The sequence below is a fragment of the Homo sapiens genome, chromosome 3, assembly GCF_000001405.40.
Source record: "Homo sapiens chromosome 3, GRCh38.p14 Primary Assembly".
NCBI lineage: Eukaryota > Metazoa > Chordata > Mammalia > Primates > Hominidae > Homo > Homo sapiens.
This window is the reverse complement of record NC_000003.12, coordinates 3,617,839-3,645,029: the sequence shown is the minus strand read 5'-3', so window position 1 is coordinate 3,645,029 and position 27,191 is coordinate 3,617,839.

Sequence of the window (27,191 nt, the reverse complement as noted above, 5' to 3'; positions counted from 1 at the left end):
TCCTAGCCTCCACATTTTCAGGAAGGCTGAGCTGAGTAATAATAAAACTCTAGTCTCCCCTTTAGCCGGCTCTGTGGGTATTAAACTCTTTCTCCACTGCAGTTCCTCTGTCTTGATAAATCAGCTCAATTTGGGAGGTGGACAAGAGGAACCCACCCAGTGGCTACACCAGCATGAAATTCTGTGTCATCTTCTTGCCTCCTCTCTATACTCCTTATCTCTCAAGTTTCTCTGTGGCATGGGGGATAATGGAGAACATTGACCATATCAATCACATGGAAAATCCATGTGTCCCTTCTGAGATTTACATAGCAACACCTAAGCAAATAGGGAGTTTTCTCCAGAACTATTCAGTATTTTATAAACAAGTAGCAGTAACATCCATCATCTTTAAAATCTCCATTCATTAAGCACTGTGCTGTAGCAAAACAAAACAAAATGAAACGAACAAAAGAAACCCCAGAATACAATATAACATGGCAAGACAAAACAATAACAACTAACTTAATGCAGATATACTTAGAGCAAGACCATCCTGCTTTACAGAAATTCTGAGTTGTGGAGTATTTAACAAGAAATATAGCTTTATAGCAAAAGTCTCCAGCTAAATATGGGGCAGTCGAGTGTAGCCAAATGCAAGCCTAAGATTTCTTTACTAGGCAAGAGCAATTTGTCATTACCAAAGCAAGAGAAGAGGGGTAGCATTGAGTAGAAAAAGTGGTCATTTGTGATGGGATCATCTGGTGTGGGTTTCGCTGCTGTGTGGCTTTGGGGTCTCTTTGTCTCCCAGGGCCTGTGTTTTCATCTATAAAATGAGGAAATTTCACTAAAAATCATAAATTCCTCTTAAGCTCTATGTCCTGCCTTATAGAAATCAGTGCTTCTCAAGTGCCTAAAACTTCTTCAAAGTGGGCTTTTTATGATTTGAACCTCTTTAAGATGGGGAAGTATCTTCTCCAAGCATTACCTTTCGGCTTGGAAAACCCTATCTTGGTCCAATTTAAATTATGATAAATGCAAATCAATGACATCTAAATTAGAAAGGTCTTATGATAGTTGATCATACAAGAAGGCTTCGGTCATTATATTAATATGACTTTTCTCTAATCAGGTATTTCTCATGTCATATTGATAATTTATTCCTTGGCAAATGACTATATGTCTTACATTGTGAACCTGGTTATTTATGGTTGTATCGATATACAAGCCTAGGTCAACTGCTCGTATTATCATCCCAAACATAGAATATCTATGGAAGTCACTGCTACAGTCTTCTGGATTTCACATATTATCTACATGGAGTTCCTTTGGTACATATGTTAATTAGACATAAGACAGCTAATGACACCAATCATACTATTTGGAGAAAAGAGTAATGTTTCTTATCTCCTAATTCATCTACTCATCTGGTAGGGAACTTCTGTCCCTTCTCTTTCTATTCTTCCTATTCTTAAAAGTATTTATAATATTCAGCTTTCCTATAAAAGGATTCCCTATTCAATAAATGGTGCTGGGATAACTGGCTAGCCATATGCAGAGAATTGAAACTGGACCCCTTACTTATACCATATACAAAAATTAACTCAAGATGGATTAAAAACTTAAATGTAAAACCTAAAACTATAAAATCTCTGGAAGACAACCTAGGCAATACCATTCAGGACATAGGCATGGGCAAAGATTTCACGACAAAGGCGCCAAGAGCTATCCACCCATCAGTGTGGAAAATGCACAGAAGACAATTCTAATACCCTTCTATTCTCCTTCAGGGCTACCTTTCTGTTCTTCATAATGCTTTAGTCTGAATTCATTAAATCTATAATTTTTTAAAGACATTCATTCTCATTTCTGATATTAGCTAGCATTAATAATTAATACATGGGGCCTATCAGATACTCTACATAATTGCTTATTCTATCAGCCTTTGAGCTAAATTAGAAAAAAAAAGATGTTTCAAGTGAGAAGTGGTAAGTTAAAGGAAGCTAACTGAGGGACAAGTTAGAATGGTTTATAAAAGAACTATACTAAAGCTGAAATGAAAAAAAACTAAGTTTGAGGATTTTACTCCACTATTTACTATCTGGATGACTGAAGATAATTAATTTCTCTCAGTCTATTTCCTCATCTATAAAATATAACTAAATAATAAATACACAAAGATAAATAAATAATAACAATATGCTCATCCTCAAATTCTTAGTGCCCAGCACACAGTAAGTGTTCAAATAATGCCTGCTGAATGTCTGATCTTCACCATTTTATTGGTAAATAGAAAATAAGTATGGGGCAAGCATTTAGTGTTGTCAGCATCAATGAAAATAATAAATACAAAAACACCTCATGAACCATAAAGCACTGTACAAATGCAAGGGCTTTTAAAAACCCAAAGGAACATGATGGCTTTCCCACATAGAAGATATAAAATCCTAACCCACTCTCTCTTTTCCCTTCTGTTACAATACAATGGCAGCAACAGCAATTTCAGCATTGGGTTGTGAAACAAGTTACAGGAGCTAGGCTTCATGCCCCAAAGCACAAACAGGTGGAGATATAGGAGCATCTTCCTGACTCGGCAAAGGAAAGTTTTAAGAGCAATAAGCGAGAAGACAAAGCTTTTCAGAATTGCGCTGTGTTTCAGAGCTTCCCTCTGCCATCTCTGGGCCCTGGGAAAGGCAGTGTCAGGAAAGCACAGGGGAAACATATGGTGGGAGAACAGCATGCTGACAGCTGAAGCACAGTTTTATAATAACACATAAAAGTAACAGCTATGCTAGTTAAAACAGGATTACTTTAAAATATATGCATAGATACACACACACACACACAGACGTGTCTTGAAAACTGGGATACAGAGGCTGTCTGAAGAGGCAGCCAGAATCAGAGGAAGAGTTAGGAGTTTGCAAGCTCTTGTCTACAATGCTGACACACAGCATCGTTGGAAGCTGGGAGGGGGCCAAGACTCAGCCCTCCTCCTTCCCAGGGTCTTAACCAGTGGATGTGAGAAACTGACACAACACATCAGCTTTACCCATGGCTGGGCAAGCGCCCAGTGATCCTCAAATGCTGGGGTCTGGTAAATAATTTTTGAGAATGTAGCTTGGATTCAAGGTCACCAAACACCTTTTATTTCTTCCATAAGCCTGGATCTTGAGGTCAACCTGTGTGAAGGTATCTGAATCTGCAAAGGAAATTTGTTCCCCTGCCTGGCTGAACGGAAGAGCAGGACCTGCCCCAAACACCATCACCAGTAGAATGCAACCACAACAAAGCAACGGATGGGCTGGGGTTGTGTTTGTAATTTAGTTATTCCATCCTTTAGAAAATATGGCTCAACAAATGTTCCAGTTCTGACCAATCTGATTATTTATTCCCCCTAAAGTAGGGAAGAATAGGAAGAGGAGGGACAGAAGTTCCCTACCATATGGGTAGATGAATTAGGAGAAAGAAACATTACTCTTTGCCCCAAAAAGTATGATTTATGTCATTAGCTGCCTTATGTCTAATTAATATACATACTTAAGGAACTCCATGTAGATAATATGTGAAATCCAGGAAATTGTAGGGATTTCCATAGGTATTCTATAGTTGGGATGATAACTGCCAAAAGCAATTGCAACAAAAGCAAAAATTGACAAATGGGATCTAATTAAACTAAAGAGTTTCTGCACAGCAAAAGAAACTATCAATAGAGTAAACAGACAACCTACAAAATGGGAGAAAATTTCTGCAAACTATGTGTCTGACAAAGGTCTAATATCCCCACCTAAAAGGAACTTAAAGAAATTTACAAGAAAAAAACAATCCCAATGAAAAGTGAGCAAAGGACATGAACAGACACTTCTCAAAAGAAGACATACATGCAGCTAAAAAGCCTATGAAAAAAAGCTCAACATCCCTGATCATTAGAGAAATGCAAATCAAAACCACAGTGAGATACCATCTCACACTAGTCAGAATAACTATTATTAACAAGTCAAAAAACAGCAGATGCTGGTGAGGTTGTGAAGAAAAAGGAATGTTTATACACTTTTGTTGGAAGAATAAATTAGTTCAACCATTGTGAAAGACAGTGTGGTGATCCCTCAAAGAACTAAACAAAGAAGTACCATTCCACCCAGCAATCCCATTACTGGGTATATACCCAAAGGAATATGAATCATACTATTATAAAGACACATCCATGTGTATGTTAATTTCAGCACTATTCACGATAGCAAAGACATGGACTCAACCTAAATGCCCATCAGTGATAGACTGGATAAAGAAATTACAGTACATATACACCATGGAATACTATGAAGCCATAGCAAAGAGTAAGATCATGTCCTTTGCAGGGACATAGATGGAGCTGGAGGCTATTATCCTTAGCAAACTCACACAGGAACAGAAAACCAAATACTGCATGTTCTCACTTATAAGTGGGACCTAATGATGAGAACACATGGACACACAGAGGGGAGCAACACACATGGGGGTCTTTCAGAGGGTGGAGGTGGGAAGGAGGGAGAGGATCAGGAAAAATAACTAATGGATAGTAGACTTAATACCTGAGTGATGAAATAATCTGTACAACAAACCCCCATACCATAACACAAGTTTACCTAGGTAACAAACCTGCACATCCTGCAGATCTACCCCTGAACTTAAAATAAAAGTAAAAAAAAAAAGGCCTATAAACGTATACGAAAGCTCAAACTTCTAATAAAAAAATCAAACAACAAAATATACAATTTTTCAACTATTAAGGTGAAAACTGTTTGGCAACATTTTAAAAATGATAATTTTTAGTGGTAGCACATTCAAGAAGCATGGTCAGAAAAATAGAATAAACTTTTATACTCTTACCACTAGACAGGGGGTATGGGTTGGTGTGATCATCCTGAAGGGAATAAACTATCAATCAAAGGTCTTACCAGTATTCGTGACCTTTGACCCAATAATTTGACTTTCAGAAATTCAAGAGAGATATATATAAACAATAATGCTTAGGAATGTTTACTGTATTATTTATTTATTTATTATTTATTTATTTGAGATGGAGTCTCGCTGTCACCCAGGCTGGAGTGCAATTGTACGATCTCGGCTCACTGCAACCTCCGCCTCCTGTGTTCAAGCGATTCTCCCGCCTCAGCCTCCCGAGTAGCTGGGATTACAGGCACCCATCACCATGCCCAGCTAATTTTTGTATTTTTAGTACAGACTGGGTTTCGCCATGTTGGCCAGGCTGGTTTCAGACTCCTGACCTCAGGAGATCCGCACGCCTCAGCCTCCCAAAGTGCTGGGATTACAGGCATGAGCCACCATGCCGGGCTTGTATTATTTATTTTTAACAAAAATCAGAAAGCTCATTGTTTGATGATGAATGACAAACCTATAATTTATATATAAATGATTGACTACTTTGCAACTATTAATATGTTTTCAAAGAATAGCTTAGAAAATAGGAAAATATTGCAAATATAACATTAGGTGAAAACAAAATAGGACCCACAATTATATATGTGAATGAGTCATTGAGTTAAAAACCACCCTACCCTGTCAATAATGGCTATATGTTGGAGATAAAACTTAGGGCCATTTTAATATTATTCTTTATAAGTTTTTATATTTTCAAATTGTCTATAAAGAGTATGTGTTATAGTTACATTTTTAAATGATGAATTATATTTATTCTTTTCCATATTTATTATTTAGTTAAAAGAATTATTTTATGTATTCAAAACCCAAAAGTTAGTTAATTGCAAAGTCAGCTAATCAACAAGATTCCATTTCTCTGAATGCTTCCCTTGGTTATAATTGTACAAATTTCTGCTCGAGATATGCCATTTAATAATTATAAGTAGTATTTTTGATGTTTTAATTGGTATTTTTTGATATTAATAACATAATTTCATATATTAAGTGATTATTATTTCTACCAATTGTTTTTATATACTGAATACGAAGATATAACTCTTTTCTATACATTCTGTTGAATTCGTCAATTATGAATGTTGGAGAAAAATTATCAACTATCCTACTCCATTCATCTCTGGCTGTTCTTGTGTTACTACCATATATTAACTGTATAGTACCTAATTTTGTGATATGCCTTCCATATCCAGCAGAGTAAGTCATTCTTGCATGGGCAAATTATTCTCCCTTTCCTCTGAAGCTCTTCTTGTACTTCTTTTTAAAGTAGTCTCAGCTGTTGATTTTTTTGAGAGGTTCGTTGGTATACAGTAGAACTTGTTTTCTGAGATAAATAGACTATGACACTTAAGATTACGTAGTTGGGGCCAAACTTTTAAATATATATTATATTTGAGTTGATGATATAAACCCCACTACTAAATAATTTTCAATCAAGAATTCACGCCTGTAATCCCAGCACTTTGGGAGGCCAAGGTGGGCAGGTAGCTTGAGTCCAGGAGCTTGAGACCAGCCTGGGCAACATAGTGAGACCTCTACTCTACAAAAAATACAAAAAAAATTAGCCGGTATGGTGGCGTGCACCTGTAGTCCCAGCTACTCTGGAGGCTGAGGTGGGAGGATCCCTTGAGCCTGGGAGGTGGAGGTTGCAGTGAGCTGAGATCATGCCGCTGCACTCCAGCCTGGGTGACAGAGCCATTTTCTGATTTGCCATTTACTAAACAAGTGACGTGTCACTTTCTCGGAGCCCTAGCTTCCCAATCAGTTCAAGGAATATTAACTAGTCTATGATTTCCTCATGGGGTGGTGTAAAGATAGAAAGTGATCGTTGAAACTGTAAAGTGCTATGTAGATAGAAATAAGAGGTAGTGTTGCATATAAGATGGCTGTATGCTCAGTATGGCTGGCTGGTGGCCCACTTTTCTTTGGTTTTGGCCACAAGGCACCCTCGTAAAGGGCATTAGGCTTTCTACTAATATCCCTTTTCCTTGCATAAATGGAAGAGAACAGCTAGCTGACCGAACAAAACTAGCTTTAAAAACTAACTGCTAATTTTGAAAAAGAATCTCCCATCTAGAATATTTGGAACTAGTTCTATTACCTAAGAGGTTGTGGAGCTTTTTTTTTTTTCCTATAAACTACAGTTCCTGTATTGGACAGTGTTAGGGGCTGAATTGGGCCCCACCCAAATTCATATGCTGAAGTCCGAAGCCCTAGTACCTCAGAATGTGACTGTATTTGAAGATAGGGTTTTTACAAAGGTAATCAAATTAAAATGAGGTCATTAGGGTAGGCACTAATTCAGTAAGACTGGTGTCTCTACAAGAAGAGGAGATTAGGACACAGGGACAGAGAGAAGACCCTGTGAGGACACAACCAGAAGGTCACCATCTGTAAGCTGAGGACAGAGGCCTCGGAAGAAACCAACCCTGTGGACACATCCATCTCTCTGACTTCCAGCCTCCAGAATTGTGAGGAAATAAATTTCTGTTGATTAAGCCACCCAGTCTGTGGTACTTGGTAGTGGCAGACCTAGCAAACTAATACAGATGGCCATTCTAAGTGTTTCTCTCTAGAAAGCCACAGCACATAAAATACACATCTGGTCTTCTGACTCCAAGGTGTTGGGGTAATTTCAGTAAATAAAACTTCGCTCTAGAAAAGGCTTTGTGTTTTCATTACCTGCCATACTACGGCTTTTCATGGAGAGCAGGGACAAAGGCCAAACCCATATAAATTCAGATGGAATTGTTCAAGGGGTTGTTGTAAATTCATCACTTCTGGGTTCCAAGGAATTCTCAATCCCTCCTCTCCTGCAGCCTTGGAGAACAAGGTTCTGTGGCCTTCCGTGGGCGGCATCTGTTGCTTCTCTGTGTGCTCAGCCTCAAGGCTACGTGCTCTGCTTGTTTGTAAGTGTCTAGCTAAAACCAGATATGTTGGATTGTTGGTGATGGCACTGCAAAATGAAGTCTCTAGCTCGCAAATGTTTTGTATTCATCTTGGCCAAGTTTAGCAGATGAGACCTGAAAGCATTTTGTTACTCTCCTGGGATGATGGCTAATTTGACCCTGGGGCATCTTTGGAGCAAGATGCATCTTCCTCAGAAGTTGCTTTCCCTTCCAAGATAGTCCTGGAATGTGCTCAAACATGCTCTGTTGTTTGTACTTGTTCCTGCAAGAGCCTGGGGCAGTGCTCCGGCTGGAGCCAGGTTGCCAGGGCTCTGCCATTTCCTGACTTTATGATGTTGGGCAAGTTATTTAACCTCACTGTGCTTTAATTTCCTTTCCTGTGAAAAAAGATAATCCTACTACCTACCTCCTATGGTAGTTGTGAGGATTAAGCAAATTACTGCAGGTAAAGTTATTAGAGCAGTACTTGGCATTGTAGTAGTCTTTCAATAAATGTTACCAGTGTGGATGGAATACACCAGCTGTTCAATATGAGTTCTTTTTTTCTCAATATTCTAGAATGAGAATGGAGTCACAAAATTTTTGCCATGTAAATGCTGCAATGTATTTGCTCCCTTGGGCATAAAAAAAAGTATTTATTGAGATTTCTTATTTTCCAGGCACCATGCTGAGTAATTTATGTGCTTTATCTTAGTTAAACCTCGTAACAATCCTGTGAGGTCAACACTCTGTTCCAGTTAGGATAGGTTAGGTCATACTGCAGTAGCCAATAATACTAAAATCTCAATGGTTAATGGAACAAAGATTTATTTATTGTTCATACTGTCTTTTCAATGCAGGTAGTCAGGGGTCTCTGCTTACCATTATTACTCAGGAACCAAAGCCAATGGAGGATGATACTGTCATCTCAACAAATGTCTTCAGGACTAGCCATGGGAGGGGAAGAGAGCAAGGGGAATTGGGTGCCAAGTCTTCAATACTTCTACACTGGAGTGCTACACATAATTTCTGCTTGGATTAGCTGCAGAAAGTCAAATGACTATGCCTAACTTCAGGAAGGAGTATGTCTGGAAGAAGAGGAGAAAGAATAATCTCAGCACATACTGACACTGTTCCTATTTTATACCTGAGAACACTTTCAGCTTAGAGGAAAAGGGAAAAGTAGTTGGTTCAACATCACATACACACAGTAGTAAAGGGAAAGCCACAATTCCAGTATTCCACTGGCTCTAAAATTAGTGCTTCCAGTCTCTTTGATCACTGCCTGTAGAGGCTGGTGACATTCTTGCTGGAGCCTGTTGGGAGTTGAATTGTGCTCACCAAAAAGATATGTTGAGATTCTAACCCCTGGAACATCTACATGTGCTCTCATTCGGAAATAGGGTCCTTGCAAATGTAATCAAGATGAGGTCATATTCCATTAGGGTGGGCCCTAATCCAATATGAATGGTGTCCTTATAAGACAAAACAGAGACACAGACAGACACATGGGGGAAATACCTTGTGATGATGGAGGCAGAGCCAAAAATGCCAAGGATTGCCAGTAACTCCAGAAACTAGGAAGAGACAAAGACAGATACTTCCCTGAGTCTTGACAGGGAGCAGGGGCTCCCAACACCTTGATTTTTGACTTCTAAATTGTGAGAGAGTAACTTTCTCTTGTTTAAAGCCACCCAGTTTGTGGTACTTTTTTTATGTCATCCCTAGGAAATGAATATAGAGCTTATCCTGTAATTCTGTGTGTTGGATCTTAATTTTCACATTGTTTATTTAGCCACATGTCCCTTCTAACAAGCTTGGGCTCTTCTCAGGAGCTATCTCCTTCAGGAAGCCTTCCATGAGAGGGCCCTGTGCCATGTCTTACTCTTGAGGTCTGGTACTCTCAGATCAGACAGTATCTGATGCTGACTAGGCATTCAGGAAATGTTTGTTGAATGAATACAATGGCGTTGGTTTCTATTCTTTTTCTCTAATCTTCTCACCAGAGTTTAGATGTTTCAACTTTGTAACAGGATGGGACATCTATTTCAGACTTGGAGAGACTCTGAAGAGTTTGTCAGAGGACAGACAGTTCATTAGTTGGTTCTCATTTTGAAATGCTTGAACTCAGGGAACACATCTCAGCTTCATACACAGAGCCTTTGTGGTTGGATCCATGCTGGTCTTTCAGGATGGGTTCTCTGGAAGCAGATGCCAGATGGAGTTTGGGACTGAAGATATTTATCAGAGAGCAGTGTTAGTAGAAAGGAAGGGGAGTAGTATTGGACAAAAGAAGTCAAATTGGGATGCAGGCCTGACACAGCCTTGTCAACCTATCTGTGAGGGAGCTCTGGAAAAGTACCTCCAGGGTGTCATCCATCAGGCCAAAGTCGTCGGTCTTTACAACCTGGAAGGGTAAAACTCTGACAAAGCAAGCGCACCTGAGGCTGACCCTGAGACAGTGGCAGCGGAAGGCCATCTGCTGACTGCACCTCCTGTGGCTGGGGTGCAAGGCTTTCTTTAAAGGGTAATTTAGGTGGCCCATATTTTTATCTGTCTCTCTGACTTTATTTCACGCCACTTTTCTTTTGCCCACTGTCAACTCCAAAGCACCAGCCTCCTTCAGTTTCCTTCACCCCAACCACAGTAACTATGAGCAGATCTTCATATACGCCCCCCTGTTTTCCACCTCCCTGCCATCACATTACCACCCCCGCCTCCTAGAATACCGCTCCTCTCTCTCTTCCAGCAAACTCTGTCTTATTCTCCAACACGCCACATCTTACCTTTTTAGGAAGTCTTTGCTGCCTTTACATTCATTTCTTCTTGAACTTTTAAATACCTTGCAACGTCACCCTAACTGTACTTATTAGACACCATCACATCTACTCACTAGACCATAAACTGCCCTAAAAAGGACTTAGAATTCAAACTTTGTAAAGGTGCTCGTGTCTAGTTTGGTGCCTGGCACATATAGGCAATTAATCAGTGCTCATTAATGATGACTGAATAAAATATGCAAAGGAAACAGAAGGAGTCATGTGATGTCAAGGGAGGGAATATTTGACTTGATTTTAGTAGAATTCAAATGACAATGATGTATTTATTATCCACTTTCACTTGGCTTTAGGCCAATCAGAACCAGCGTCCTGTGTAAGCCAGTTCTAACAGAGCAATTCCTCTCAGACCTGAGAATCCACACAAGAATGCTACAAAGGCAAACAGGAAATATGCATGACCCAAAGGATGCATAACCAAACCAGACTCCAACCTGCAGAGGGAAATGTGCCCTAAGGACTCTTTACTGGAGTCAGCCTGCTCTTTAAGCAACTAGTCCAGAGGCCCAAAGGTAGCTGCCTATCTCCAATCAGGGCTTTACAGAGCCCTAGATGGCCTAGCGGACATCTTCTATCACTGTCTAGTCAGTACCAGTTTCTTCTTTATCTGAAACAGCCCTAGTTTTTTTTTTTTTTTTCTTTATTTCTCATTTGCATCCAATCCTGGGGAGACTATCAGTCAAAGATTCTACCCTCCCTCAGATACAATGAATAGTTTTGCAGAGGTCATGAGCCCTAAGCCAGGCCAATCAAACCAGTGGGCATCAGCTCTGGGAAGGAGAAGCTCTTATTCTACTAGTTGTTAGGGTGACAGATGGTAAGACTGAAACACTGGAGATCGTGAGGAGACCAGGCAGGGAGAGCTGCCTGAGATGAAGCCAGTATAAAGAGCATCAGCCACAAAGGAGGGGAAAGGACAAGTCCTCAATGACGTTGTTAGAGCACCAGGATTTAGATTAGCTTGGATTTAATATAATTGTCAAATGTTGAGTTAGTGAGCCAATACATCAATCACCCTTTTTTGCTTAAGCTCTTTTTTTTTCCGTTTTATTGGGGGTATAATTGACAAATAGAAATGATATATAATTAAGGTGTATGGTTTGATGTTTTGATACATGTATACATCGTGAGATGTTCACCACAGTCAAGCTAGTTAACATAGTCATCACATCCACATAGTTACTTTTTTGGGGGTTGGCACGGTGAGAAAACTTAAGTGTTATCCTTTTGGCAAATTGCAAGTGTACCATATAGTATTGTTAACTGTAGTGACCATGCTGTACATTAGGTCACCAAAATTTACTTATCTTGTATAACTGAAACTTCGTACCCTTTGACCAACATCTCCCTGTCTCCCCCATCCTCCAACCCCTGACAGCTAGCATTCTACTCTGTGCTTCTATGAGTTCAACTGTTTAAGAATCCACATATAATTGAGATGGTGCAGTATTTGTCTTTCTGTGTCTGGTTTATTTCACTTAGCATGTCTTCCAGGTTCATCCATGTTGTCACAAATGAGAGGATTTCCTTCTTGTTTAAGGCTGAATGATATTCAGTTGTATATAAAGATATACACCACGTTCTCTTCATCTATTCATTTGTTGATTGGCATTTAGGTTGTTTCTGTATCTTGGCTATTGTCAATAATGCTGCAATGAGTATGGGTGTGCAGATATCTCTTTGACATACTGATTCCATTTCCTTTGGCCTATATACCCAGAATTGGAATTGCTGAATCATACGGTAGTTCTATTTTTGGTTTTTGAGGAAGTTCCATGCTGTCTTACCCAAGGTCTATACCAACTTACATTCCCATCAACAATGTATAAGTGTTCTCTTTTCTTCATACCCTTATCTCTTGTCTTTTTGATATTAGCCATTCTAAAAGGTATGAGGTATTTCACTGTGAATTTAACTTGCATTTTTCTAATGATTAGTGATGTTGAACATCTTTTCATATACCTGTTGGCCATTAGTGTGACTTCTTTTGAGATTGTCTATTTAACTCTCTAGCTTGTTTTAAAATCAGGTTACTTGGTTTTGTTGTTGTTGTTGTTCTTGAGTTGTTTGAGTTCCATATACACTTTGTAGATTGGCCTTTTTTCAGATACATGATTTGCTTAAGCTAGTTTGAATTGGGTTTCTATTCCTTGAAATGGAAAGATTCCGTCTACAGACACCATCTTGTCCTTTCTCTTACATTTTCAGATGAAAAGAGTAAGAGCCCTATAGCAGGAACTAGCTCTTGGGTCTTCCATATCTTCGACTAAGCTTTGTACTTCAGATTAAAAAAAAAAAAAAATCCGGAGTAGAACAACTATTTTATATTGTTTAGAAAGTGAATTTTGTCCCAAAAAATGACAAAAGATTTATGAGAGCTCTTCTCTGTCCTCAAGCCATGCATAGTTTAACTGGAGAGACAGGCTCAGCATATATCAAAACAAGGCAGTGTTTTAAGATTTAGTTCTTGTTAATCAGGGCCAAAAAAAACCCAACTTCTGATGAACTTGGTTCATTCACTCTTTGGTAGAAATGGTAGCAGACCCATAATGTTCATATTTCTACCAACATGGTTAACAGGCAGTTTCATCTGGGGTCATGAGTTGGTGATTCCTTCACCCTGATAATTAGGTTTTGCCAGCCTGGGGTTTAATGAAAATTATTAAAATGGTGAATTGGAGGAGACTTGCCTAGCTGTGTTAACAGGAGCATAGTTCCTTGGGGATAGATTGCTCAGAGCTTCAGTGTTTTCAGGATTGAACTGAATCATTTATTGGTCACATTGTTTAAGAAACAATAATAAACAAATAATAAAAACTTGAGAGGCATGGGAGATGGCCTAGTTTTTGAAGGGCTGTGGAATACAGTTAGGGATCTCTAGACTTGGTTCCACACATAACATAGCTTTTTACAGTTATCACTGGACATTTACAATATGCCAGATACTACGCTAAGCACTTTATATGGATTATTTCATTTAATTCTCATAACAGCTCTTGAGGAATGTAATTCATTCTCCTTTTGCAGTTATGCAAACTGTGACTCAGAAAAGTGAATTTGCTTGCCCAAAGTTAGACAGCTAATAAACGTGGGAGGCAGAATTTGAAATCAGTTCCAGAGCCTGAGTCTTAACATTACCTATACCGCCTTCCCAGTAAAGGAAAGAACCCAGGGATAGCAGGGACCAGGGGGGAGGAGTGTCACTTTGCAGAGAGATGTGCACTGAGAGGACCCTGGATTCTAATGGACTAGCTCACGATGTGCTTCACTTATCCCAGAACAAAGTAAAGAAGGCCCGAGTAGGTGCAATGGCAGGAGGAGAGGCAAGGAGGATGGCAATGGGAGATTTTGCAAAAGAACACTGCAAGACTTAGAAAAAAATGAAAGAGAGATGAGTCAAAACATATCAGAGTCCATTTTAAACGCGGGTATAAAATATCAGTGTCCAAAATAGTAGCTGTCAAGAGATTACTTGTAGCGTATTCCGGGAATGCATTTAGTTTCCATGGCAGAAAGCTGTGTCAAGGAAAGAACTATTCATGTATACATTTATTGGAGACTCATTAGTCTATTTAATGTATTTTTAAATTTTTAAAAGGCCACTCACCACAATTACATCTGGGCAAATATACAGGGGGAGAAAATCAATGTTGAATTTTACAAATAGACGCTGTCTCAGCCTTCGCTTTATCATTCCCATTATTAGGCAAATGGAAAATCAACATAATTGTGCAGAGTGGAGTTTTTCAGCGGGCTTGAAGAAAGTTCCTAAAATGTGATTCCACTTTTATAACACAAGTTCTTGATGTCAGCTTTTCTTCTGTTTCATTTTCACAGTGACCCACACTGTGTTTATTATTTTTGAAGGCTCATGTTGAAATAGATGAATAGGAAGGATAGCAGATGGGTTTCCCAAAGCCTGCAGGCTGGGGTGAGCCTATATCGCAAAAATGCCCACTTAATACTCGGGAAGAAATAGCAGTCGGGGCTTGGAGGACACGGTGAACCAGCTGTTGGGTGCTACAAGGTCTGACCATAAAGCCTGGTTTTATTTGCTACAAGATTCAGAGACCTGGCCAACCCAGGTCTCTGATCATTTTCAGCACTTCCCATGACATGCTCTCCTTAAGATACCATCAGCATTTAGTACCAAAAAAAGTATGTCAGGCTTTCTCTTACCCTCCCCCTATATTCATTCCTCTAAGCACTTCTGTACTGGTGAAGTTGCTGACTCAAGGTGATGAAAAGACCCCTGCACTGAGGTCAAAAGACTGAGATGGAGTCCTAGCTGTGTAGAGTTGGGTGAGTCATTTCCTTGTGCTGGGCTTAGATTCCATCTGAAAAATTAGAGATTGTTTTGTGATGGTTTCTTGGCATTTACACAATATGATTCTATTCATGTGGAATACTTCTGAGACACATAAGATAAAAGAATATGGATTTGTTGGGGGAAATAGTGTAATAAACTGAATTCAAAAATGAGTAAGTGGCAATGTAAGATGATTTCGGATGATATGCAGATAAACATTTTAAATTTTAAGTCACTCATCTCCTTTAATATGTATTAGAAAAGATATGATTAGCAATAATCAAACCTGTGATTACATTATGTTGTTGTTTGTGATTATGGTTAATTAATTTATGGCAAAAAGGGAATTGATTTAAAAGCGTCGGCCGGGCGTGGTGGCTCACGCCTGTAATCCCAGCACTTTGGGAGGCCAAGGCGGGCGGATCACGAGGTCAGGAGATCGAGACCATCCTGGCTAACACGGTGAAACCCCGTCTCTACTAAAAATACAAAAAATTAGCCGGGCGTGGTGGCGGCGCCTGTAGTCCCAGCTACTCGGGAGGCTGAGGCAGGAGAATGGCGTGAACCCGGGGGGCGGAGCTTGCAATGAGCCGAGATGGCGCCACTGGACTCCAGCCTGGGCGACAGAGCAAGACTCCGTCTCAAAAAAAATTTAAAAAAAATTTTTTAAAAAAGCGTCATATAGTAGATAATTTGGCTGCCGTTTGTCCCTGGCTATTGGGGAGTAATCTCTTAATCTTTGGAATTGCCAAGCGATAGAAGAGTCTTTGTTATTCATAGAGGGCTCTTCTTGAGTTTATGTCAACAAAGTAACTCATGCTGGACCTTAGGTAGTTTCAGGATGAGAACTGGCTATGCTAGAATGACCACCAATACAATTTAAGGGTTGGGACTTTGAGCCAGGTTGTACCAACTGTCCTCTGGGGAGTCTGTGGATTGAGTGCAGCCACATGGCCAATCAATCAGTCATAACTACATAATGAAACCATAATGAAACCTCTGGACACTGAGCATGGTTGAGCTTCCTTGTTGGTCATGCACATTAATGTGCTGGGAGGGTGATGCATCCTGAGGACATGGATATTTTGTTTTTGGGACCCTCCTAGATCTCACCCTATGTGTCTCTGCACTTGGTTGGTCCTGCAGTGTATCATTCATAAGAAAACTAGAATCATAAATATAGCTTTCCTGGAGTTCTATGAGTCATTCTAGCAAATTATCAAACCTGAGGAGGTAATGAGAACCCCTGAATTTGTAGCCAGTTGGGCAGAAGTACTGGTGACCTTGGAACCCTGGAACTTGTGGCCGGTGTCTGAAGTGAGGGCAGTCTCGTGGAGGAGTATGCCCTTGAGCTTTGAAATTTGACCATCCCTAGGGAGCGAGTGTCAGAATTGCATTGCACAAAGGCAATATCAAGTGAATAGGAGTATTAACTACTTAATAATAAAATGGTACACAGATATATTGTCAAAATCCTATGCATAGTTTAAAAATGACCAAAGTTTGAGAAAACATTAATATAATATTCTCTGTAGTGAGATTGACTACAGTAAGCCTATTATACAAATTTGGTAATTTACTCCCTGCAAGCACCCTGTGAGGCAGGTAACTACTAATATCTCCATTTTACTGATTTTAAAAACAGGGGCTTTAAGCAGTTAAATAACTTCCCCAAGGTCATGTCATAATTAAGTGGCAGGATTAGGATATAAACTCAGGTAGTCTGGCTCTAGAATTCTTTGTTCTTAGATATGTTCGTTACCACACTGTTGAAGTACCTGCCTCGTAGAATCACTGTGAAGATGGAATGAAATACTGCATACAAAGTTCATTGGAAAGCTTCCAGTACATAGTAATCACTCAGCAAATGTTAGCTTTTATTATTCTTATTCTATATCAAGTAATGTCAATTCTTAAATTAGGAGACATTTAATTTGGTTATACACTATAACACTGTCTAGTATCAATTGATAGGCATATACATTTTTTGTTATATATGAAAACAGAGAGATTTTATGTTTGTAAGTTAGAGAAGGTACAGGACTTACATTGCAGATCTTTCTAGCATGAAGCGATTTCTTTTCCAGTCAAGAAACATTAAGTCCAAAAGCAAAGTCAGTATGATAAAGAACCTGGTTTTTACGACCTTTTTCTTGATATTATGTAATTCTAGTTCACATCGTCGAAGACAATGAGAGGAGAAATTTTAGCAAACAAAGCAAAATTTGGGTTTCAAGATTTATTTAAGTGACTACAATGGCTTAGTTAGTTAGAATGCTCTAGACTGGTAATTCATCTTTATTTGTCAGCTCCCAAGAGTCAAGTATGAAGGGCAAAAAGTGAGCAGGAAGCAAAAATAACTGCCTGTTTTTGACTAATGATCATCCTCAGATTTGGGGTGGATACATTTCTAAAAACTCTTGCTGGAAAAAACCTAAGTGCTCCCCTAAAATGTTAAATGTGTAAGTTGGAACTGGGAAACATATTAATAGTTTGTATATTTTCTTTCACATAGATACATAACAATACTAACAATATTAGCTGTGGATATAATATCTATATATATTAGGAAAAACTACAATTTATTAGAATAAAGGGGCTATTAACAGTGTATAGGAAAAATGTTGTCCTGAGCCCTTATTCTGGCTGTGATATTTAGTGAAACAGTCCAGTCATGGGTCCTATGAGAGAAGTCACTCTGTGAGTTTCCATGGAGGAAGAAAAAGCTTCATTTTTTTACCCTGCAGCAACAGCAGAGGGAGGGAGAGCCTATCTTCTTTGCAAATTCATTAACTTTGTGGTTGAAGGGAGCAGCGTCAGAAACTGCTTTAGCACAGTGGGAGGAAAACAAACAGATTCATCTCCAGAAACCAAAGGAAAGGGTAAGTGGGTTTTTATTAGCCAGCTGTATCCTAGATGGTCAATTTCCAGTGGATGAATACACCTTACGTACGTTTCTCTTGCTTCCTACCTAGGCCTGATCAGCTGGGCACTTAAATCATTCCGTTGGGGTAGCTGTAACACTGGACAGTGTATTGGAAATTCTGTTTTCTGGCCTGTTCACGAATGAGCTATTCTATTTTGGTTAGTTAAATATTCTGATTATCAGGGTTATCAGGGTAGATGACAGCTGTGGTACTAATTCACTCATACATCTACCCTACAAATATTTATTGAGGGCTTTCCATGTACCAGGCATAATTTTATTTTTTTATTTTTTATTTTTTTGAGACAGATTCTCACTCTGTTGTCCAGGCTGGAATGCAGTGGCACGATCTCAGCTCACTGCAACCTCTACCTCTTGGGCTCAAGTGATCCTCCCACCTCAGCCTCCCAAGTAGGTAGGACTACAGGCATGCACCACCATGCCTGGCTAATTTTGTGTATTTTTTTATAGAGATGGGGGTCTCACAATGTTTTCCACACTGGTCTTGAACTCCTGGGCTCAAGCAATCCTCCTGCCAGGCACCATTTTAGATACTGTGAATATAAGATGCTTGTGAATACAACGAACAAGATCCCTGCTTTCCTGGAATTTACATTCTAGTGGAAGGCAATATAAAGGTTCACAGATGCATATGATTATTTCAAACAGTGAAAAGTGCTTGAAGAAAGTAAATAGACTGCTGGAGCCAATTAACAGTTTTCAGAGAATATCTTCAGTGTAGAGGGAATGTCAAGTGCAAAGACCCTGAGGTGGAAGAAAGAAGGTAGATGCACTCACAGGACAGAAAAGAAGTCTCATGTGAACTGGAGCATTGTGAACAGAGAAAGTAAGGTTGAGAGGTCAAAGTGGTAGGCAGGACTCACATCATGTAGAGCCTTGAAGCCTTGAGGTAAAACAAAGTCTGGGGTTTTATTTTATAAGTGATGGGAAACCATCAGAGGGCTGATGCAGAGGAGTGACATGATATGCTACGTATTTTTAAAGCATTAATCTGGTAGCTAGATGTTCAATGGGTTGATTGTAGGGTGGGAGGTGGGGTGGAGACAGATGGAAGAGTGGGCCCATTTGTGCTTCCAAAAGTCGGAGAAAACTAGTAGAAGAAATGTCATTATCTATTAAATGGAACAAACAGAACCTGGAGTCAGACTTCACTGTCACTCACTTGTCATGTTGTCTTAGGCAAGTCTCTTCCCTCTCTGAAACTCGGTCATGTCATCTGAAAGAGAGAAACAGCCTTTAGTCCTAGATTCCCTTCCAAGTGCTTCTGCACACTAACATATGATTCAGAGGGTGTAGCCCTGTCTAAAGGCAGTAAAATCTCCAAGACTGAAACTAAAACCTGTAGCCAAGCCCAAGCATGGATGATGGAAGCAGTGGGGTGAAAGGGAATCCCTGGGTGGCAATCACTTCTCGTGATCTGGTATATTGCTCCTTTGTTGACATGAGCTTAGCATATAGGAATTAGCCTTTGTTTGGTGGCTCTTATCAGTCCTCATTTGTGTGGTTATCTTTCATCTTTGCTGCCTCTTGACATTCCTTGGTCCTAGCATTGTTCCTCACTGCATCATGCCTGAGTAGTTTGGGGACCTGTTGCAACAGAAAGTATGTCTGACTTCATTAACATATACACCATTTTGGTGAGTCGGGGTGTCAGCTTTGACCCTTCAAAGTAGGAAAAGATGAGAAGGGAACCATTCAGTACTTGGCACCTCTGCAGTCAGGGATTACTGCAAATCCAGAATGAATGGACAGGCTACAAATTCCTGCCTAAACTTATGTAGACATCTTCATGTAGACGTCACATCATAATTTAATAGCAAGGTGGTGCCTTAAGAAACATAATGTCATTGGACCTATTCGGCCTACCCTTGCACCTGTAAAGAGGGGAGTTTCTTTTCCCTCAAATTGTTATTTTCATGGTTTAACTTCTTTTGAATTACCTCTTCAAGAATTATTGTTTAGGTATCCAGTTTGGAAATATCTGTATTGTCATGTCACTTTTTAGTGGAATATGTGAGGTATGGAATAACTTGAGATGAAGTTAGATTTTGAAAACTAAAAAAATATTAAAAATTGTTTTAGCTAAGAGAGTGGGAATATTTGCAAACCTTATACCTGATAAGCGCTAATATCCAGTGTATATAAAGAACCCACATGACTCAGTAGCAGAAAAGCAACTTGATTAAAAAAATGGGCAAAGAACTTGAATAGACGTTTCTCAAAAGAAGACATAGTGTATAGACAGTTTTCCAAAGAAGAATAAAAACGATCAACAGGTATGTGAAAAGGTGCTCAATATTACTAATCATCAGGGAAATGCAAATTAAAACCATGTGGAGATATCACCTCACACCGGTTAGGACAGTTATAAAGGCAAGAGATGACAAGTTTTGACGAGGTTGTGGAGAAAAGGGAACACTTGTACACTGTTGGTGAAATTGTAGATTGATGTAGCCATTGTGGGAAACAGTAGGAAGATTCCTGAAGAAATTAAAAATAGAATCATCATATGACCCAGCAATCCCTCTTCTGGTTAGATACCCAAAGAAGGTGATATCACCACCTTGAAGAGATACCTGCATTCCCATGTTCATTGCAGCATTATTCACAACAGCGAAGATATAGAAACAACCAGAGTGTCTATTGATGGATAAATGGATAAAGAAACTGTGGTATCTACAAAAAGGAAAATTATTCAACCTTAAGAACTGAGATCTTGCCATTTTCCACAACAAGGATGAACCTGGAAGAAATTAAGCTAAATGAAATAAGACAAACACAAAGGGAAAAATGCTGCATGATCTCACGTGTGGAATCTTTAGGGATTCAATCAATCAAATGTGGTTATGGAGGAGGTGGGCAGTGGGAGGCAATGGAGAGATGTAGGTCAAAGTGGCAGACATGTAAGATGAACAGATCTGGAGACCACAGGTACAACAGGAGGACTATACTATAGTTAACAATATTGTAGTGTATTCAAGATTTTTCTAAAAGAGTAGAATTTAGGTGTTCTCACAATGCCAAAAAACAGATAACTGTGGGATGATGGATGTTAACTCACTTGACTATAGTGATGATTTCACTGTCTATATACATATCAAAACCTCATGTTGTATAACTTAAATATATACCATAAAATTTAACAATAAAGAAAGGAATATGTATAAACACACAATATACATATCAAAACCTCATGTTGTGTAACTTAAATATATACAATAAAATTTAACGATAAAGAAAGGAATATGTATAAACACACCATACTATTTTCCAAATGTTATTTGAATTATCCTGAATGATAGTACCTGATTTTCTCACTAGACTAGACATTTTGGTACTTATCTCTTTACTTGGTATATTAGTTTTTGTTGCTGTGTAACAATTTAGCAGCTTAAAACAATGCCTATTTATTTATTCATGATGCTGTAAGTGAGAAGTTCAGGTGAGCTCAGCTGGGTTCTCTGCTCAGGGTATTGCAAGGCTGAAATCTAGGTGTTGGCTGGGCTGAATTCTCATCTGAAGGCTCTGGGGGAAAAATGTGTTCCAAGCTAATTCTTGTTGGAATGATTCAGTTCCTTGTGGCTGTCGGACTGAGGTCCAGTTTTATTTTTTTTTTGCCAGCTGTCAGCTCTCAGTTCCTAGAGGCATCTGCATTCCTTGCTATGTGGCCCTGTGTCCATCCACAAGACAGCAATGGTGAACATGTGGAATCCTCCTCATGCATCAGATCTCTCTGACTTCCTCTTGTGCAGCCAGCCAGAGACAAGCTCTCAGCTGGGTTCATGTGATTAGGTTAGGCTCACCTGAATAATCTCCCTATGTTAAAGTCAACGATATCATAAGATAGAACCTCATTTTGGAAGTAAAATCTATCCTATTCAGTCTTGAGGATTGTGCAGGGCAGGTATTCCATGGGATGGGAAATCTTAAGGCCTACCTTAGAATTCTGCCTATCACACTTGATTACTCAACACAAATTTAGTTGAGAATTGTGTTAATTTGGGTTATCCTAACAGGAGGCATGGATTTCGGTACACATAATTTATTTGGGAGGTTGTCCCAGTTAGCACAGTGAGGAAGTGGGGAAAGTGGGGCAAGGAGGAAAGTCAACAAAGGAGCCAGTTTCTGATGCAAGCAAGTAGGGCTCAGTCCTTCTTGGGACTCTCCAAGAAAGGGTAATACATCCCTCAAAACTGCTCACTCCCACTCAACTCCCATTTGTTGAAACTTGCTCTGAGGACAATCGTCTTTTCATCCCTCAGTTTAGATCAGGGAGTGGATATTATTGTTGCAATTTTGCACATTAGGAAACTGAGACTTAGGGGGTTAGGTTTGTCTAAGACTATTTTACTGTGAGGTGGTGGCCTATATTTCACCTTTTGTCCAACTTGCCTATAGCATATGCAGGCTACTGAGAAAGACAGAGCCAGAAGTCACTCTCCTGCCTCCTGATGTTGCTCATTGCCTCTTTTGAGTCCATTTTTAAACCACCTAGGGGTAAATAAATGCTGAGATTTTAAATGAAGGTAATCAGAATGATAATAATCTGTGAAGGCTGAATGGGGAAGGTCCGTGCTAATTCTCAAAGGGAAAATAACAGGCTACCTCACGTTTGTGTAACTCTACTGCAGACTCCCAGAAACCCACAGTTACTAATAAAATCCCATATATGGGAATGTGTTTTAATTTTCAAAATGCCTTTTTATTCAGGATGCTCTTTGCTCCTCCTATCCATCTCTGAGGTCTATGAGAAAGGTACTATACTGCTGTCATTCTGAGCTTGGGTTTTGGACTCTGACCCATCTAAGTTTAAAACCAGGTTCTGCCACTTTGGGTGATCTTAAATTACTTAAGTTCTGCTGGCCTCAGTGCCTTCTTCAAAGAACTCTTGTGAAGGCCAGAGCAGATGGCATGCTCAAAGTGTACAGCATTATAAAGTACTCAAATATATGGTAGCTGTTTTATTATTCTCATTGACATATGAGAAAACTAATGTTCAGAGAGAAGTGACTTGCCCAGAGTCATCTGCTAGATGGTGGTGGAATTAGGGTTAGAACCCAGTCTCAGGGTTTCAGGTGAGCTCTGTTCTCCTCTTCATGGAGAGAAGATAAGAATCTTCCTTCCTGTCCTCCAAGATGAGGACAATATCCAGGCAAATCACCTGGTCTCTTTTAAGAGCCACTTTGGATGTCACACAATAGTCAATTCTCCTCTCGAGGTGTAGGGCTTTGTGTCAAGAAAGTGGAATAGAGGTAGCATCCTCTCCCCTTGGGAAGTTCTTTCTACAGTTCCTCTGGGCACATGGCCCTCACTGTACAGTTCCAGGAATCAACTAGAGGCAGAGAAATGGTTTCCAGTAGGTGGTAGTGGAGGGGCTGTCTCTGACCACTTCCTTGATGGATTTGAGGTGTTTTAAAGTTCATTTCTCTGCATTGTGGCCAGCATGGGCATTAGATTTTATGGTGGCAAATCCTGCCAATTTTTATATGAAGATGCAAGATTTACTTCTGAGCAAATATCTATAGACTTTTTTTTTTCTTGTCCACCCTAACAGACGAGTTGAAATCTGGATTTTCCTGTCACAATTTTTCACTCAGTCTTTCCTTCACTATTCATTTTTTCATTTAATCAATATGTATTGAATGTCTGCCATGCACCAGGCACTATTCTACACCTTGGGAATACAGTGGTCAACAAAATATACAGAGCCCTTGCCTTCATTGAGTTTCTAGGGGAGAGAGAAATTGCAAAAGAAAAAAAAATCAAGTGAATTATGTAATATGTCAAGAAAATAAAATAAGGTACAGAGGATAGAGAAGGCTGGAGGTTTATACGAGGAAGATCAGGAAAAGGTGGTTTGAGAAGATGATATGTTAACAGAGGACTGGAAGAAATGATGCAGAGAACCACAAGAATATAAAGGTGAAAGGAACTGATAGTTGGCAGTATATTTGGTGTGCAACTTGAGGAATAGTAGGGAAGCATGGCTAGGAGAGTGAAAAAAGTAGAGAACGGTAGTTGATGAGTAGAAAAATAGTCAGGAGCCATGGCTGGTTTGCCATTGTGAGGACTTCAGCTTCAACTCTGAGCACTCCTCAGACCCCTATATGTCTGGCTTTACAGTTTTCTTCAAAGTATTAAACAGCTTAGATGTAATGATGCTTAGATGTAACAAGGCAGTCAATCCAAGCAGGAGGACGTTTGTGGAAAATATTTTAAGTCCTAGTACTAAGAGTTGCAAGAGAGATCTTTGGGCGATTCCTCTACTACCCTGTGGGGCTTTAACAATGGGATCCTGCTAAACTTGGGGTTATTTCTGGTTCTTTAAATTTTGATTTTCTTCATTTTTTATTCTTTCACGTCTTGATGTTCTCAGCTAAGAATCATCCTTTCAAAAGAAAATTTTAGAAAAAGACATAGAATGAACTGGCAATATCTTAACCCTCTAGCATCAATCATTGACTTTGAAATTAGAGTTTGAATAATTAAAATCAATTTTTGTGCGTTTTGCCACCCCCACAACAGGATATTTCTGTCAGAAGGCTCCTGTGGGCTCCAGATTAAGTTTGTTAATGGGATCTGGCCCATCTATAGCCAACGCATTTCCAGCAAAAAGCCAATAAAGCTCCAATTGCACAGGCTATTCTTTTAAAAATTCTCCATGGTGATTCTATTAAGCCACATTACAAGAAGCAAAATTGCATTATTAAAATGACCACTTGATTATTTTTTCTTTTTTTTTTTTAATTCTTCTTACTGTTATGGAAAAAAAATCTCATTTTAGGTCTCCTTAGGGTTTGTTTCTTCTAAGAATTTACTCTGAAATAGAGGCTGGTGGGAAACTTGCAAGCCTTTGCACAAGTAATAATGGACCATTTTACTGTGCTAACCAATATGCACGTATTAAATCTGTGTATTTGAAAGAAATACATTTGGACAATAGTATTAGTGTCATAAACTGCATCAGGATTCCCTGCAGGGCTTGTAAAACACATTATTGTACCCCACCCCAAGGCTTTCTGAATTGGTATGTCTAGGTGGGACCTGAGAATTCACATTTCTCATGAGTTCCTAGATGATGCTGCTGATGATGATGGTGATGATGATGATGATGATGATGATGATGATGGTGATGATGATGATGATGCTGATGATGCTGCTGATGATGATGATGCTGATGATGATGATGCTGATGATGATGATGATGATGATGATGATGCTGGCCCCATGACTAACATTAGGAACCACTATATTAGGACCATGTTCTGCAACGATGCATTAGATACTGGATTTTATTTCACCTGGTTAGTGTTGGTCCCCATCTGAGTGAGTCTAGATATTAGAGACTTCACAACTCTGCTTGAATGCATACTCAGCTGTAACAGGTGTCTAAGACATGATAAAAAACACAGGAAGGCTTCAGAATTGATTTGAATAAGATTGAAGTCTTTGAAAACCAAAACATGGTTAATTTTGGAGTATTCCCAATCAGTTTGGAATCTATGAGCTAATTATTTCAAAACCTATTCTCCACATCAAATTGTTTACTTTTTGCTTTGAGCACCCTCTGGATACACCATGTTTTCACTCATGCTGTCATCCCACCTATTATAAAATGCCTCCTACCCTGCTCTCGGTTCAAACAAGCCTGATCTAAGTCCTAGGTCAAATCCCAACTCCTTTATGAAACCTTTGGTAAAGCAATTTATGAAGGTCTATAAACCTTCTTTGAGATCCAATTGCCTTTATTATCAAGACAATTCATTTGGAGTGACCCAGTGGATTGTTTTTGCCCCAGATTGCTGGATAAACCTTGTATGGTTATGTAAGTTCTTACAGGAATATGTTTGACCTTGTCAAATAGACTGTAAGCTTTCTTCGAGCAGAGATTAAGACTACCATGTAGTTGGTGTTTAATATGTACTTATTTGAAATTGAAGGCACAATTTCTATAAAACTAAGTTTCTACTCTCTCAAATATATATAAAACAATTAATGTGTACTGAGCACTAATAATATACCAGGAGCTTGACCCACCTCACTGACACCCTGTAATAACTGTATGGGGTTGAAAACATTGTTATCCTTATACCGATGAGAAAACAATGGCTTAAAGAGGTGAATGACTTGCCCAAGGCCACACATCCAAGAAAGGGAGAGTTGGGATTGAATCCTAGTCGGACCTCAGAGCCTGTATCTTACCCTTTGCAGTATTATTGAGCCATAATCTTTTTCTTTCTCTCTCATTCTCAGCAGCCCAGACCCTCAGCTAGCTGGGCTACACAGTATGAAACTAGCTTTTCTTCTCTGTCCCAAACTCATTGGAAACCACAGAAACCACATGAAAAATGGAGTCTGACCACCTCTCATCTATGGATCTCAGACTTCTCCTTCTGTAATGATTCACCATCAAGGGTTATGGAAGCCACAGCAGCAATAAAAGACTCTTGTATTGATCCACTTTGAAATTATAGAGGAAAACAAATTACCCTGAGGTTCTTTATTGGCATTGAGTGTTAGGTCCAGACAGATTCCAGAACAATTTAGCTTTTAAGATTTAATTCAAAAGTCCCTTGCAAACTATGGATACAGGAAAATGAATCATTTCATATTAGGGGATGGGGCGATAATGATGATAAATGCCTTTTTGAAAGCTTTGTGTTCCAACCATAAGCCCTTCTCTAATAGTTCTTCGGAGCTGATTAGAAGCTTAAAAAGCCCCATTTTGGTCAAGAGCTGGTAATTCCTAGTTTCCCTTTGGTGGAAATAATTGGTCTGATAATATCCAAATAATATTTATTAATTAAATAATATTCATTTTATGTGATTGTACTATGTACATGTTAATTGGATGCTGAATAATCAGTTTTACTATCTTCATTATGTAAGTAATGCATAAATCCAATTTTGTTTAAGAGTTTCAGATAATATGTACTATGCAGGAGAAAAATAGAAAGTCTTTCTTCAACATCCTTCTCCCACCTGCCTCAGCCATCCTGTTCCAGGTGTAGCCACAGCCGGTAGATGAGTATGGATCCTTAATTCTCCTTGCTGTACACACACAAGTACGTATATGAATGTACATAAACAAATAACTTTTTCCATAAATGAGAACACACTGTAAGTTTTTTCCTGTGACCTTTTTTCCACTTGACATGTTGAGGAAGTCTTTTCATTTTAATTTGATACAATGCCTCTATTTCATTCTTTGTAAGGTTTATTTACCATATTTGAATTAACATGGCAAATAAATGTCTAAACGTCTAAAATGTACCTGAGATTTTGTTTTTACTCAGGTG